This window comes from Homo sapiens, chromosome 7 (assembly GCF_000001405.40).
Source record: "Homo sapiens chromosome 7, GRCh38.p14 Primary Assembly".
Taxonomy (NCBI): Eukaryota; Metazoa; Chordata; class Mammalia; order Primates; family Hominidae; genus Homo; species Homo sapiens.
This window is the reverse complement of record NC_000007.14, coordinates 121,771-138,810: the sequence shown is the minus strand read 5'-3', so window position 1 is coordinate 138,810 and position 17,040 is coordinate 121,771. Positions and strand designations below refer to the sequence as shown.

General features: G+C 50.1%; 2 annotated features.

The window, feature by feature from the left end:
- Nucleotides 3,992-4,494: an enhancer, noted in NCBI's record as "H3K4me1 hESC enhancer chr7:134317-134819 (GRCh37/hg19 assembly coordinates)". NCBI's record gives its function as "activates a minimal SCP1, AML or CMV promoter by ChIP-STARR-seq in naive H9 embryonic stem cells {active_cell/tissue: H9 hESC(naive)}" and the evidence as "EXISTENCE:reporter gene assay evidence [ECO:0000049][PMID:30033119]".
- Nucleotides 4,495-4,997: an enhancer, noted in NCBI's record as "H3K4me1 hESC enhancer chr7:133814-134316 (GRCh37/hg19 assembly coordinates)". NCBI's record gives its function as "activates a minimal SCP1, AML or CMV promoter by ChIP-STARR-seq in naive H9 embryonic stem cells {active_cell/tissue: H9 hESC(naive)}" and the evidence as "EXISTENCE:reporter gene assay evidence [ECO:0000049][PMID:30033119]".

Sequence of the window (17,040 nt, the reverse complement as noted above, 5' to 3'; positions counted from 1 at the left end):
TAAACAGGACCCATGCAGGCAAGGGTAAAGTCACACCTGCAGGTCATCATCTTGCTACACAGCTTCCAAATTTTAGACAGAACCTTCCTCCTCCAACCAAATGCAAATTAAAGAATCTCTGAATCCACCGATGTCCTGTAAGCCCCAGCTCTGAGATGTCCCTCCCTTTCAGGTCAAACCAATGCCGACCTTCTGTGCACGGCTGTATGTCTTTGCCTGTAACTCCTGCCTCCCTGAAATGTTAAAACCAAACTGCGGCCGGGCGCGGTGACTCACGCCTGTAATCCCAGCACTTTGGGAGGCCGAGGCAGGTGGATCACCAGGTCAAGAGATCGAGACCATCCTGGCCAACACGGTGAAACCCTGTCTCTACTAAAAATACAAAAATTAGCCGGGCGTGGTGGCGGGCACCTGTAGTCCCAGCTACTCGGGAGACTGAGGCAGGAGAATCTCTTGAACCCGGGAGGCGGAGGTTGCAGTGAGCCGAGATCGCGCCACTGCACTCCAGCCTGGTGACACAGCGAGACTCCATCTCAAAAAATTAAAAAAAAACTGCAACCCGACCTCAGGTCCTTTCTCAGGACTCCTTGGAGCCTGTCTCCCAGGCTGTGGTTGCCCCTGTTGGCTCAGAAATAACCTCTTTAAAATATTCTACGGAGTCTGGTTTTTCCATCAGCAAGTTTAACTCTAAAGTGGACATTGTTTTCCTTTCATAAAGGGCTGGGGCTTCCCAGATGATAATGAAAAAATTAAATTTAAATGTTATTTAAAATACATTTCTTCTTTCATTATGAAAGTAACAAATGGAAGAACATGTTTCCAAAGCCATCATGGTTTGTTAATTTTTAAAACCAATGAAGATAGGTTAAAAAAGTGAGCAAACATATTTTACATATATTTTTAACTTGAAAACTTATACATATTTACTCATTAATTTCTATAGTAAACTTATTGAGGTATAATTTTCATACAATTGAGAAAAGGAAAGAAATTGTGCTGAGGGATGATGCAAGTCCTTTTAAACGATCAGGCCCAGAGAGGCAGTCAAGTGAGGCGGCAGTGACTTCCCACTCCCCGCCTTGGAGCTGTGTATTCGTCTCTTGAAACGCTGGCTGTTGCCTCAGGTTAACCTCCTAGTGCAGCAGCAGACACTGCAACTCACACCCTACGGCTTAACAATATAGAGCCAAGCAATAGATTATGTTACTTTAACATAAATCCTTGGTCAACAACTTGGAACAGCCTCTTCTTTCCCTTGAAAAACCCACCTGTAACAGCTGCTAATAGGAGGTGTATTCAGGGCAACTTGAATCTACGCTTCCGGGCAGCAGTCCTCAAGCTTCGCCCAAACTCCCTCCTTACATGAATTTTGCCTCAGGTCTTGCCTTTGAGTCCAATTCAATGTGATGTTCAGTTTTCAGTCATACAAGTTGACAAGTTGTGACCAATGTAAGCCATGCATCCACCGTCCTGGTCAAGATGCATGAGGCTTCTGTGACTCCAGAGAGGCCCTCCCACCCCTTCCTAGCCAACGCCCCAGTCTTGGACCTCCAACCCTCCCTCTGGTCGTCATCACCATCTGGCCACTTCTCCATTCATGAATATTCCCACCCCTTCCTAGCCAACGCCCCAGTCCCAGGCCTCCAACCCTCCCTCTGGTCGTCATCACCATCTGGCCACTTCTGGCTCCATTCATGAATCTAGATATTTCCATATAGGGACAAGCTTGTATTTAGCATTGGTCTGCTGATTGAAGTTCTTCTTCTTCTTTAGTGTAAACCCCAGGCTTAACTCTCCTTCCTAGCCACCCAATTTCATATTTTTTAAAGTGGACCAAGAAGTTGGGCACATTTTAAGACAATCTAAGACCAGAATTTCTCCAAACGTTCACCAATTAGTTTTCATTTTTAAGAGTCATCTTGTCTATACCTAATTCAAAAGCAATTTTTAAAGCAGCCTCAAGTTACCTTGACCTTGTTTTCCCAAATCACTTATCTAGGTTTATGTAGAAACAACTTTCTGTCATTTTGCACTGATATGTAATAGGTTACATAATGTTGAATTAAGTTTCATGGTGTTACTGGAACAGGGTCTCAATCCAGACCCCAAGAAGGGGATCTTAAACCTCGTGCAAGAAAGAATTCGGGGCTAGTCCATAAAGTGAAAGCAAGTTTGTTAAGAAAGTAAAGGAATGAAAGAATGGCTACTCTGTAGGAAAAGCAGTGATGTCCGCTGCTCAACTGAATATACTTATGGTTATTTCTTGATGATATGCTAAACAAGGGGTGGATCATTCAAGATTTTGCTGGGAAAGGGGTGGGCAATTCCTGTAACTGAGGGTTCCTCCCCTTTTTAGACCACATGGGGTAGCTTCCTGACATTGCCATGGCATCTGTAAACTGTCATGCACTGGTGGGAGTGTCTCTTAGCATGCTAGTGCATTATAATTAGTGTATAGCGAGGAGTGAGGGTGACCAGAGGTCACTTTCGTTGCCGTCTTGGTTTCAGCCAGCTTCGTTACCATATTCTGTTTTATCAGCAGGGTCTTTGTGACTTGTACCTTGTGCGGACCTCCTACTCATCCTGTGACTAAGAACACTGAACTTCCTGGGGTTACAGCCCACAGGTCTCAGCCTCATTTCATCCAGCCCCTATTCAAGATGGAGTCGCTCTGGTTCAAATGCCTCTGACACTAGTAAGGATCACAGGTGGCATCAACAGGTTTGGAGCAAACCTGAGTGTCTCCCGGTTGGTCACATCTCAACTGACGAAATCCACGACCAGCAGAGAGCAGCCTCCTTGCCCCCTGTGCTCACTGAGTCATCCAGCCCATTTTGACCAAGATTATGTGAGTTGCTGGAGCAGAGGTTGGTTGAGGGAGCTCCCACTGTATGTAATCACCGTGTCTTGCACAAAATAAATAGAAAACACAAGAATACACTCTTATGCATGATCCTACAGCCCAGAGGCATCCACTTCCTACATTTTGCATATCGTTTTCCAGTGTCTAACAAATACTTTAATGTACTTACAGTCAACATCATTGCAGGGCTAGAGGGAACCATAATCTACAAAACTGTCCTCAATTCTTCACCAGTTACAAGGGTAGGGGTCTCCAAGACCACCCTCAGTTTTGATAATTCGCTAGAAAAACTCACTGAAAGCTGATATACTCATGGTCATGACTTAGCACAAGGGTAGGACACAGATGACTATCAACCCAGGGAAAGGCGCTCAGGCCGGAGTCCAGGAAGTTCCCACCTGCAGAGGGTCCTTCCCCACAGAGCTGTGGGCAGTGTCACTTGGGGCATCCAGGTGGGATCCCCCGAGCTTAGTGTCCCAGAGCCTTTGCTGGGGCCCCATGGTTGACTGCCCATGCGGATGGAGGTCTCCAGCTCACTCGAGGGTGAGCTCATCGCAACCCCTACCTGAATCACACTTTAGGCCTCCTGGTGTGGTCCAAAGGCCCAGGCAAACCAAGACCGTCCCATGTGGCTTAGAGACCACCTCTCAGAAGCTGGGGGAAGAGGCCAGGTCTCTCTGGGCAAGGTTCAATTCTTTATTACACCGTCATATATAAAGGATTTATTTTTCTTTCCAAAAGTTGGATTGCACTACACGCTTTGCTTTGCAATCTGCTCTCAGGCTCGTGGCATGACCGTGTGCCACACGCCGCTTTGTTCACTGAGGCGGACTCAGAATTCCTGTCATCGTCCTCTGCTGCTCACCTGGCCGTCCTCGGCACCTGGGTGGGAATGGAATTTGAACACTGGCGTGATTGTGGGTTGGTATCTCAGTCTGGGGTTCTAGAAGCAAACCCAAGACGAGGATTTGTGTGGAAGCAGTATAAATAAATGATGTGTTCCCTGGAAGACCCCTTTGTGGGAATGGGGGGTGGTACTGGGTGGGGAGGAGGCCGCACGCTGTGGGGGTCACTCCGGCTCCATCTCATGGAGGAACTGGGAGGCTGCTTGTCACTGCTCACAGGTGTGCCCTTTGGTTTGGGGGGTGCTCAGGTGCTCTATGTCTTATCTGTCATTCACTGTCTGAGGGTTATAAATTCCCAGACAGCGTAGCCCTCCAGGAGCTCAGCGAACCCCAGGGAAGAGGTTCCTGTGGCCAGAGGGCAGCCCCTGCAAGATTCAGAAGCCGGATGCTGGGACTGAGAGACCTGGGGCTCGGGGGCCTGCAAGATTCAGAAGCCGGATGCTGGGACTGAGAGACCTGGGGCTCGGGGGCATAAAAATGGTCAGTGGATACAGAGAAATGTGGGCAGAGTCCTCACGGCATCTGCTACGAATAAAGTCTGAAGGCGCCACAGCACTCAGAAGGGCCGGGTGTGATTCTCTCCTGGGTAAGTGTGTGCTCTCGGTGGGGTCAGCTGACGGAGACTGGGACAGAAGCTTAGTGGCCGCTCACCACTGTTTCGTCCCAGCCGCGTTCACCTGGGTGTCAGCTCCAGCAACCTGGGCAAGGATGGGGGAAGAGCATTCTGTCCCGTGGGTGCCGCATATGCTCAGGCCATCAGCTCTACCCCAGTGGGTGCAGGCTCCCTCCTCTGCACTGAGCACCTCGCCCCGTCGTCCTGAGCCCTCCATCGTCTCCACTTTGGGCAAAGGCCAGGGGCTGCTTGGCAGGGTCTTGAGCAATGGAAAGGGACCAGCAGGCTGATCGCTTTCCCTCCTCCCTACCTTAGAACAACTCAAGGTGCAGGGGCCCCGACGGCCTCCCTGAGACACCCTCATGAGCCATCATCGGCTGTTTTCTTTGTGATCTGTGGTAGCTCAAAATAAATACATAAATAAATAACACATAAACAGAGCATCACTCTGAATTTGTCCCGTTTCTTCCCTATCTCCGTGCCTAACCCCACTCCTGCTTCCCTGGGCTTGCGGACCACCCCCCACCCCCACCCCCACCCTCACCCCCACCCCTAACCCCCGACCCCCACCCTCACCCCCACCCCTAACCCCCGACCCCCACCCTCACCCCCACCCCTAACCCCCGACCCCCACCCGTTGTGCAGATCTGGCTTCTGGACTTCCTTCTGCTGTCCAGCCCACCACTGCCCAGCTCCTCAAGAAAAAGGGCTCCAGGTCTGAATCCTTCCCTCGGGGGCGGGATGTGTGGCTGGACCTGAGGTCAGAAGCGCGGCTGAGGCTGCAGACGTGTGCACAGAGTAAATGTGTTGAAATACTTTACTGCACGTGTTCCCTTTATACTCTCTTTTCACACTGATTTCAGGCCTGCAGTCTTTGTGCATCTTTGCTTACAGGATTTTGCCGTATTGTAAATCAGAATGACCCTGAAGTTTAAGCTAAGCCAGACTCTTATGGAAGAAAAAGCTAGGTGTCAGAGGTGGTGGGGGTGGGGGATGCGGGGAGAGGGCTTTTGGGAAGCGCTGGTCTAAAAATCTTTCCAGACACAACCATTTCTTACCTCCACCATCACCACTCTGATGGAGCCACTGTCACCTGTGACTTCTGTACCTGTTTTGTATGGCTGCCATGCCCCTCCCACCCACCTCCAGTCTACAGACAGAAAGGCACGTGGATAGATAGACAGAAGGATAGATAGATAGACAGAGACACATAGATAGATGATAGATAGATAGATAGATAGATAGATAGATAGATAGATAGATATGATAGATGATAGAGACAGATAGATGATAGATAGATGGATGATAGATGATAGAGGATAGGTGATAGATGATAGATAGATAGATGATAGATAGCGACAGATAGATAGATGATAGAGACAGATAGAGACAGATAGATGATAGATAGATAGAGACAGATAGATAGATGATAGATAGATAGATGATAGATGATAGAGACAGAGACAGATAGATGATAGATGATAGGTAGATAGGTTAGATAGATAGATAGGTGATAGATGATAGGTAGATAGGTAGATAGATAGATGATAGATGATAGATGATAGATAGATGATAGATGGATAGATAGACAGAAAGATGATGATATAGCTCTCCTTCTCCCGCTTTCTGTTCTGAGGTAGCAGGCCACACTCAGGAATGCTGGAATGTGGGTGTTTGGTGAAAGTGCTCTGTGAATGAACAATATACATGAGCTGTATCTATATCCAGTCTAGTCTCAACACAGCAGCCAGAGGTTTCTTCCAAAAATACATGTCAGCTCAGACCCCTCTCAGCTCCCGTCTCTCCAGCAGGTCCCCATCCAGCTAGGTCAGGAAAAGCCACCTTCACGATGGCTATGGAGGCCCCCAAGGATGTCCCGCACTCACCCCCAGAAGCTTGAGTGTGATGAGAGGCCGCCCTGAGGCACATTGTTCTCTGGACAGTTGGCCTTAAACGAGGGAGGTTATCCTGGTTTCTGGGGGAGCCCTGACAGCAGAGAGCGTCCTCTGGATGCAGGCGGAAGAGGGTGGCAGAGAGGACTCGGCGTGAGGAGGACTCAGGGTGCCCTTGCTGGCTTTGAGAAGGCGGATGCAGCCAGCCTTGAGCTGACAGCCCACAGGGGAGTGGGGCCTCTGTCCCTCAGCCACAGGGAGAAGTCCTCTAGCCCCCAGTGAGCCTGAAGCATGTTCTTTCCTCGAGCCCCAGACAAGAGCACGGCCCACTGGCACCTTGACTTTGGCCTATGAGAGCAGAGTACCCCGCTGAGCCAACCCTCTCCGACTGTGATAATACATGGGTGTTGTTCAAGCTGCCACATTGTCCGGGGGCTGTAAGAAATGAATACTGTGGTCTGCAAGTCCCCCTGACAGTCTCCCACCCTCCTCCCTGGTCCCTCAGACACCCTTGTTCCTCCCGTCAGAACCACAGGCCTCATACTCCCTCTGCCAGAGGCCCTTCCCCAAAACAGAGGAGCGAGTGGAGCAGACAGCTGCCGGCTGGGTGTGTTCCAAGCCTCGGCGGATGCTTCAGAATAGAAGCGCCCACGCCGCTTTGCAAAGTGTAAGTGACCGCGTGGCTCACAAACAAGCCTGTTTTCTGTGAGTCCTGGCCCTTCCTGGAAATGGTGGGGAGGGTGGCTTGGTGAGCTGCCCACATGGTGTGTGCAGGAGGTGAGCTGATCACTGGGCCACAGGTGGCTGACGGGGGGCAGCCATTGAGTGGGACAGGAGTAGGTGACCAGCAACTGCAATAGTCAGGAGTGTTTGGCGAGGGCCTTCCTTTGGCTGAGAAAGGAGGCAGATGCTGAGTGTTCAGCAGTTTGGGAGCAAGGAGAGTCCCTTCTCCTCCTCCCCTCCCCTCCCTTTCCCTCCTGGGCCATGCAGTAGGACTGTGAACAGCATAGGAAATGCACACAGAGGAGCTCAGGACGCCCAGGAGGACCTCGAGGAGTACCCAAGCAGAGGAAGCTTGCACCCTGAGTCTGCAGTCGGCTGGGGTGGGGCCCCTGCACTGGAAGGAAGGCTGGGCCCCCGACCCAGTGGTGGCTTCAGGGCCTGGTGAGGGTCACTTTCAGGCTGCTTAGACCTGCAGCCTCCCCAGGTGGTGTGCTCAGGCAGTGCCTCTGGGCCGGCACAAACGGGAAGGTGCTGAGGCCGCGTCTACCTGTGGCTTTAAACACTGGCTTCCACCTGCTGGCCTCCGCGTCCCTCCAGCCGGCCGCCTGGAGCTCATTTTGTGAAGCTGGTTGTGTGTGAATTAGGTGATTCCCACTGTGAACAGTGGAACTCTTGCACATTCCTTGTGTAATTTTGTCCTTAGCATTGTGTTCACCTCGTGCGCCAGCTGCAGACCCTCTCAGGACCGCCCCAGAAATGCTGGCAGCTGGTGAGTGAGCATCTTCAGGCAGCTGTGAGCTGTGTGAGATGATTTTACCAATGCCAGCCTCATATCCACGCTCTGAGCATGTCTGAGGTGAGAGGGCTCAGCTATGATGCCCGGAAGATGAGGTGCATTAAATGCATTTTGACCTGGGGTATTTTTTTTCTATTATTATACTTTTAAGTTCTAGGGTACATGTGCACAACGTGCAGGTTTGTTACATATGTATACATGTGCCATGTTGGTGTGCTGCACCCGTTAACTCATCATTTACATTAGGTATATCTCCTAATGCTATCCCTCCCCTCTCCCCACCCCACAACAGGCCCTGGTGTATGATGTTCCCCTTCCTGTGTCCAAGTGTTCTCATTGTTCAGTTCCCACCTATGAGTGAGAACATGCGGTGTTTGGTTTTCTGTCCTTGCGATAGTTTGCTCAGAATGATGGTTTCCAGCTTCATCCATGTCCCTGGGGTATATTAAACTTACGATGGGTTGTCAGGATGTGGCCCCACCAGTCCAGGAGCATCTGGGCTACGATTATTTATTTTGTTCCTAGAATTTCTCCAGCTTGGGCATTGGGAGCTCTTGCAGACCCCGTCGACATTCACTCCCTGAAGCCTCCAAAGCCACCGCCCTTCCCTGACATCTTGTGCAAGGCAGGAGGTGTGCGGCCAGTTTCCACAAGGAACAGGGTCTCCTCCAGGCTGTTGGTCCCTGGAGAAGTAACTTTTGCAACTTTTGTAACTTTTCTGTAAGCCTAAAATTATCTCAAAATACACAGTTAAAAAATGAGTCAAGTGATGTCACCCTGGAATCTGCAGACGAACACTAATGATAGCAGCAACAATAATAACAATGGCCTTTGTTGAGTGTGGCAGGCAGTGTGCTGGCACCTCCTGTGCGTTTTCTCATCAAATCCTCCTTAGGAACCCAGGGTCTTCCCATCAGCATCCTGACCTTGTGCATGAGGCAGCGGAGCCTGGGAGTGCGGCGGGGCAGCCGGGGAAGCGGAGGCGTTCCAGGGACGCCCATCTCCGCCGCTGGCTGGCAGCCTTCGCTCTGTTAGCTCAATGTTTGCCTTAATGCACCCTTTAGAATCGCACTCCATCCTTGGAGCCTTCAGCAGCTGATAAAAAAAGAACCCTTCTGTGTACACATTGGCAACTCTACCACCCTATTCCCAGTGGAGCTCCGGGAGCTGAAAATAACCGCGTGCTTTCTGTTTCGTGCAGAAAAGAGGACGTGTGCACTTTATTTCATAACACTTGCCATTTTTGAAACTCTGATTTTTCCCACATGTATTTTTTAAATGTCCTTGGAGGAAAAGACACACTGCGGATTTTGCCAGCTTCCTCTTTTTTTGTAATCCAGCCCAGGTCTATGGGCAGGTCCAGATCTTCAGGGAAGAACTCCTGGCCACCAGATGTGAAGAACGACGGGAAAGAAAGCCTTGAGCCAACACAGATGGCCATGGGGTGGACTTGCCAAGAAGTGCCAGGAGACAGCTCCCTGGGGGTCCGAGGCCGAGGGCCATAGGAGGAATGCCATCCTCAAGGGCCCCTGTCCCTTGCAACCCAGGCCAGGGAGGAGCAGTGGCCTGCCAGGGTCTCTGCATGGCCTGTTTCCTGTGCAAGGAAAGACCACTGGCTAAGACAATCCAGGGCTCTGTGTCCTGAGACAGGAGCAAGGGTGGTCGTCCAGGGCTCTGTGTCCTGAGACAGGAGCAAGGGTGGTCGTCCAGGGCTCTGTGTCCTGAGACAGGAGCAAGGGTGGTCGTCCAGGGCTCTGTGTCCTGAGACAGGAGCAAGGGTGGTCGTCCATGGCTCTGTGTCCTGAGACAGGAGCAAGGGTGGTCGTCCATGGCTCTGTGTCCTGAGACAGGAGCAAGGGTGGTCGTCCAGGGCTCTGTGTCCTGAGACAGGAGCAAGGGTGGTCGTCCAGGGCTCTGTGTCCTGAGACAGGAGCAAGGGTGGTCGTCCAGGGCTCTGCCTTCCCTGAGCTTTCAGCACTGTCCTCACCCCGGCCAAGCACGGCCAACGGAGGGAGGTGTTTGTGTCAGGCTTCCATCTGCATGATGCTCACTTGCTCCCTTTTAACTGAGTTGAGCCCCACGGAGATGCATTTTGGGGAATTTCCAGTGAGCACAGAGCAGGTGGGTCATGGGAGGGTCAGGGCTGAGCACGGCATCAGAGGACGACCCTGCCCTCCGAGGAACACCCTCCTCCGAGGCCACCGGCAGGTTTTCCGGGTCAGCTCTCTCCCGAGGCTGCCAGGCTGTGCCCTTTCCCATCTTGCTGCACTCACCCTGGACCAAGGATCCCAGATGCTTGGCTGTGAGTGAAATTCCTAGGATTCAGGGCCAGGCTAGAAGGGCAGTGGGAGTGGTGTCTGTGGCTGGAAAAGACCCATGCCTGCCTCCCACAAGGCCACACAGCCAGGAGGTTAGGCAGAGAGGTGGGACGTGCCCTTCGACCCCAGTGAATCTGCGCAGTGCTGGAAATACAGCTTGGACTGCACAAACGTACACAGTTGGTCAGCCCTAGTCCTCCCAAATGGGACTGAGAGGAGACCCTCCCAACACCTGCTGTTACATCGAGGGGAGCCTCTTGCCTTGTGCAGTCACTAGGACTAGGCTGGTCTCATCTCCTTCAGTGATGCACCCAGCGGGTCGCACTGCAATACGACAGGAAGAGGAAATACACGGTAAAAACAATGACAACATAAATGCATAAAGTGAACACATTTCCTCTACAAAGTCAGTAACAAATTAGAAAATGTAATACGGACAAACTTAGTTCTGTTCTCAATACTAACAACCCACACATGAACTTAGCCGGGAACTGTATTAAGAACAGTATTAAAGCAGAGGCTTCATGTGGGGAAAGGTCCCAGGCTTGCTGAGGTTAAGACAATTTACCTGTGTAGAGACATGTCATCACCCTGGAGACAAAGGCTGATGAGCAAATAGACTAATCCTCCCCTGACTTAAGAACTTATAAAGTCGAAACAAAATTATATTTGGCCCTCTTAAAACATGCTAATGGGATTCAAAAGCTTATCTGGAAAGCAACTGAGCTTGAAGAAGCACGAGCCATTTTAAGAGAAGAATATTAGGAGGGGCATTCCCTGTCAGAAATTAAACCACAGTGTGAAGCTATGATCACTGAAAACATGTGGCACAACTGCAATCATCAATTATATCAGGGAAAACATAAATTACTCTTGAAAGAATTGGAATTTATGAAATAATTGTATGTGTTTGCAGCAGGGGTTAATGGTATCACATATCTCTAGAGAAAGATGTGTTCAACCAGTGATCTGTGATAAAAATAAAATATGTACAATAAATTAGATCTTCTCATATCATCTTAAAATATGACAAACTCCGGAGGTGCCCAGAAAACAACTCCAATGAATGGTCTCCCCCAGCCCCAGATGAAGGCAGTGCCCTTGGGTGGCCCCAGGGAAGAGCTCTCTGCCCAGGGCCACTCTGTGTGGGTCGTGTGAGGGACTCTGGGTCTGGAGCTGTGTCACCAACTACCCTTTGGACCGGCCACTTTCTAAAGGATCAACATCCACAGATTCAGCAGGGCTGGGTGAGGAGACCCAGTCGCCCACCCAGACGGACGACCTGCAGCGGCACACACCCAGGTGCCCACTCCTCTTGGGGGGAGTCCCCATCACTGGATCTTGTCAGCCCTGTGCCACAGAGAGGCTGTGCTGCTATTGTGCGTTTTGGCAGCAGAGGGTGGACACGTCCAGGGAGGGTGGATTAGCTGAGGAGCAGAGCTGGGGCCGGTGTCTCGGCAGTTCACCCACTCCCAGTCTAGAGCAAGAACAGGGTGGACCCTGCGATCCTCGAAACGAGAGTGTTTCCCTTCCTCAGACACATGAGCCAGGCAGTGGAGTTGGGATGTGTCCCTGGATGGTGGCAGGTTAGAGGGGTCCCCAGGCTCCCACAGGAGCCCAGGCTCGGGGAGGAACCCTCTGCCCCTGGCAGAATGGGCACCTGCGTCTTTTATAGTGGGAGCTGGGCCCAGGGAGGGACACACTTCCTTGTCAGATCTAAGACCCAGTTTCTGGGGGGACAAGGGTCTCCAGGCACCCAGGGAAGCTCTCCCAGGCAGAGCCCGGCCCAGAGCTTGCACTCAGGGGTACAGAAGGGATACAGGTAAGGACGTAACTGGATGGAAATTTGTGACTTCAATGCAAAAATTAGAATGTCAGAAAACCTAATAATTAGTAAGCTAAGCATTTGCTGTGAATCAGATAATAACTAGGAAAATTAATATAATGCACAATGAATGGAATGACTACAGGTAGAAGATTGAGAATAGCAGGTGGTGGCAGAGATGTGGATCAACCAAAACTGCTTCTGTTGGTCAGAGTGGATGTGAACTGTGAGGCTGTAGAATGATTTGGGAAAATTGTCTCTTCATATCTGTTAAAGCTAAATGTACGCCTAGCCTATGACTCAACAATTCTGCTCCTAGGTATATACCCAAGAAAAATCCACAAACAAGTTCACCAAAAGGCATGTGCAATACGCAGAGTGACACTATTCATGACAGTCTCCAAACTGGAAACAACCCACATGTCCACCAATGGATAAACCGTGGTCTGGTCACACCATCAAATACAACAATGGGAGTAAATGAGAAGAATGAATGAATCTCACAAACACAATGTTGAGTGAAAGAAATCAGACGCCAAAGAATGCACACCAAGTGATTCCATTAAAAACAGATCATGGAGGCCGGGCGTGGCGGCTCACGCCTGTAATCCCAGCACTTTGGGAGGCCGAGACGGGCGGATCACGAGGTCAGGAGATCAAGACCATCCTGGCTAACACAGTGAAACCCCATCTCTACTAAAAATACAAAAAAATCAGCCGGGCACAGTGGCGGGCGCCTGTAGTCCCAGCTACTCGGGAGGCTGAGGCAGGAGAATGGCGTGAATCTGGGAGGCGGAGCTTGCAGTGAGCCGAGATCGCGCCACTGCACTCCAGCCTGGGCGACAGAGCCAGATTCTGTCTCAAAAAAAAAAAAAAAAAAAAAAAAGATGTTATAATGTCATAATGCCAAAGCTCTGATCTCAGAGGTTATGGTGCCAGAAGCCATGATGCCTCAAGACCTGATGTCAGAAGTCATGATGTCAGAAGTTACGATGTCGTGATGTCAGAAGTTATGATGTAGGAAGTTACAATGTCGTTATGTAGGAAGTTATGATGTCGTGATGTAGGAAGTTACGATGTCATGAGGTCAAGAGCCATGATGCCAGAGCCCTGATGTCAGAATTCATGATGTCATGTTCTCAGAAGTGGGGACAGTGGTTATTCTTTGGGGAATGTTGATGAGAAGAGGCACTTGAGGGACTTCCAGGGGCCTGTAGCTTTTTATTTCTTGATCTGAGTATGGCTTACACCAGTGTTTTCAGTTTATGAAGCTCTACATTTATAATATCTGTGTTTTATAATCCCTGGGTATGCCACACACTTTAATTTAAAAGTATGTTTAGAGAAAAGGGTTGCAGTCCTGGCCCTGCGTGAGGCTCCTCATGTGATCTTTGACAGCCCCCTTCTCCCTCTGGGCCTCAGTTTTCACATCTGCAAAGTGACGATCTGCGTGCAGCTGAAGGAGCACGGAGACTTTACGTCTCGTCCTGATGTCCAGGAGGGTGGAGGCCCTCTTTCCACCGTGTCTCTTTAAGAGGGGTTACCAATGCACTCTGCCAGGAGCCTGGAGGGGAGCAGGGTCTCTTCGAAGCCCACCCCTGGGACAGTGGCCCACACATGCAGGATGCAGACCTCGGTGGATGCCAGCACAGGGTGGAGGGGCCAGGGAGGCAGAGTCAGAGAGGCCACGGGGCCCACCGCCAGCATTAATATTAAAGGCGGTTCTGCACAAATGATCGCATCAGGCCTGGAAAACAGAGCAGCCAGCTTACATGGGAATGTTCTCACCACAGTCAGCCGTGCAGAACTCTCGTCTAATCAGTACTATTGAAACCTTTAATTTCCCTTATTTTGTGCAAGGCGAGAACTGGATATCAGAGGGATTTCTCCCAGAATCACATCCGCTCTTGCCAGTGTCTCCCCTGGGAGGCCTGATGGCCCCGGTGTGTGAGTGGGAACAGCAGCCCTATCCTCAGCGTTTATTTCCCCTGTGGCCAGTGAGAAAGGATCACCAGCAAGCCCGAGCCCAACCGTCTGCAGGCTGACCTTGACTTTGACCTTGGACCTCAAGGGGCAGGCATGGGAAGCTCATATTCCAGGCGTGGGGCTAAGAGCAGAGGCCTGCTGAGCCCCAGAGCTGAGGCCCCTGTCTTTACTGGACCAGCCCGCACTGCCCAGAGGCTCTCTTGGTGCCAACAGTGAGAAGCTGGGTGCCAAAGGCTGCACCATTGCTGCCCTGGGAAAAAGCAGCTCATTTAGCTGAAGGACACCCTGGCCCCTCTTTTCCCACGCTGCTGAGCCCACTCTCTTGCAAGCTGCCTCCTCCGGGCATCACCAGTGATCCCCATCTCCTGAGGCCTCCTCCCAGCCTCGGGGGGGCGGCTGCCCCAAGTCATATTATAAACTAGCATAAAGCCCGTGTAGGACCCGGGAAGCAGGTCCCTGAGCCAGGAGTCCCCATCCCTGCACAGCATGGCCCTGCTGAACCCCAGCTAGCAGGGGCTGTTCCCGCCTGCGCCTGCCCCTTCCCACCGGAGGACACACCTGACAGTGGGAGCTGAGCTGCGGTTTCCTGGCGCCCGCCAGGTGGGGCTCTTCCTGCGTGTGCACCTGTCCTCAGGCCACCAAGGAGTTACCGTCACTGTGTCCATTTCACAGAGGAGGAGACTGAGGCTCAGAGATGGGAAAAGGATCAGGCCAGGAGGTGGGGGAGAAGGATCCTGTGACTTGAGGCCCGGCACTAGAGTCTGCCTGAAATCATCAGCTGTAAGATTTCGCCTCTCATGACAGTAATAATGATAATAATAGTAACTCATTGAAAATAACTTTATGGTCCTTTTCCATGTATAGAAATACAGATGCTCAATGAAAAAAAAAAAATCCAGTCTTCCCAACTCTGCAATGTGCGTTTTCTAGTCTAAAATCTAAGTCTCCATTTATTGCTTCTAAAATGCTCCTCAGGAGAGTTTTGCCGTTTCCTTCAACAACTCTACCTTTCTCACTGAATTCCCCACCATCAGGATTTTATGTGTCTTTCTGCTATTGTGAATGAGATTTTCCCCCTTTATTTTCCTGTTTTCTAAGTGGATATCGGTGACTATTGACTAGTGTTCATTTTGTTATGCTAAGTGCTCCTGTTTCTTACAGCCTTGCAGTTGATCCTCTGTGTTTTCCAGATCAATCTCAAACCATCTGCAAAATATGGGAATTTTGCCTCTTTCCCATCTTTGTAGCTCTTATTTCATGATTTTTTGGTCTTCTGGGGAAAGGAACAGGCTCAGGTAAACAGCCAGGCTGGGGCACCCTCAGGGCAGCTGCGGATCACCCTATGCCGTCCCTCCACCCCGGTACCCACCCCTCCGGGAGTGAAGGCTGCCAGCCGAGATGCACGGTTGCTGGGAAGTGTATGGATGAGGCCCACCCAGGTCTGAGGCATCTCACCCTCCAAGGAGCGGATACTGCCTGCCCCCAGCAGGGGAATGCTGGCTGCTGCCATGGTGGCTGTGGGTGTGTGGTGACCGTCCAGGCCTCCCTGGGTGCTGCTGGGATGGGTGGGCCTGGTTTAGGGTTGATTTCTGGGGTTCCGGGGTCCCCCAGGGGCAGAAGTGTGATGGCACATGGTTCCGTCATGGCTGGCTGCTCTGTGGCTCACGCTGTCTGCCTTTCCTGCCCTGGTGAAGTGGTTGTTTTGTGATGTATTATTTCATTGAATTATATTGGTAGATTTCCTAATACTGAACTTGTTTTAAAGTGCTTGGAAACCTCAACTGAAGCCGAGAGGTGGTCGTTACACGTGTGAGTCTTTAATCTGCCACATGAAGTAATGTGTGAGGACGTTATTACCATAGCTGGTATGTTTCATTTCATGTGTATGTGCAACTTTTCAATGTTTTGGTGCAAATATTATGCTGGAATCCTAAGAAGAACACAGGGTTTTCTTTCTTTATGCTCATGAATAGGAAATTTTAATCATATTGTAAAGATTGGTGCACCAGCATTTTGAATTAGTGAATTTGTGATTTATCTGGGCGTAGAATTTCGGAGGTGAGTGGGCTGGGTTTTAATAGATTTCTCAATTTCTTCTGCGGTTAATAATAGTCTGCTTACTTTTCTGTTTCCTTTTGGTTAGTTGGGGCAATTCATATTTGCCTGGGATAATCACCCATATTATTTAGAATTTAAAGTATTTGCATGGAATCTGTAAATTATGCACTTGTGTGTGCTTCTGTCGTAACTGTTTCCCATGTCGTTAGACTCGTGTGCACGTGTGTGTCCATGCCGTCCTCACAGTTCCTGAATTAGGGTAGACACAGGCTTATTCACTGGTGAATTTCAAAGGCCCACCACACGAGCACGCTTTTGAGTCTCCTGCTTCAAATCACACACTTTTACCATCTTATTTTCTTCTTCTTGGTTCTTACATTTATCCTGTTCTTTTTATTTTCTTGAGTCTAATTTTGTCAGTTGAATGAATAATTTACTTGTTTGTATTTGGTTGTTGCTAACGTAATTGTTATCGCTGTGAATTTTTCTCTGAGACAGTTTTAGTCACATTGTTCGGGTTCTGATAGATCATATTCCATAATTGTTATTTGTGGTGGTTCTGAAATTTGGACTCTGTTGTCCCACTTGACCCAAGAATTGTTCAAGAGGCATTTTGTTTGCTTACTTGTTATTCAGGATGTTAGGGTTTCTGCTTCTACAATTGCTATTATTTTCTTCCTTTTGTGGATTTTGGCTGGAGAATATGGTCTAAGTGTTCTTGGGATTTGACATAAGTTCAAGTTAAAGAAGAGGTTTCACGGCTTCTTGAAGAGAGAGGCATTTCCCACTCCAGGTGTGATGTACCTGTCAGGATCCACTGCTGGGTCTCCCGATGCGTGTTTGGGACCCTGGGTTCACAGAGGGCCGCTGAGGTCCCCACTGCTGCGGGCTGCCTGGTCATCTTCAAATGATGCTGGAATCTCCACTCACGTACTTACCTCCATTCCTAAAATAGTATCGTGTTTTTCCTCTTTATTGTTTGTGCTATTGGGGAGGAGCCTATTATCAGAGGAAATGGATGCACATCGGACACCCTGGTCTGGCTTTATCAGGTTCGCATG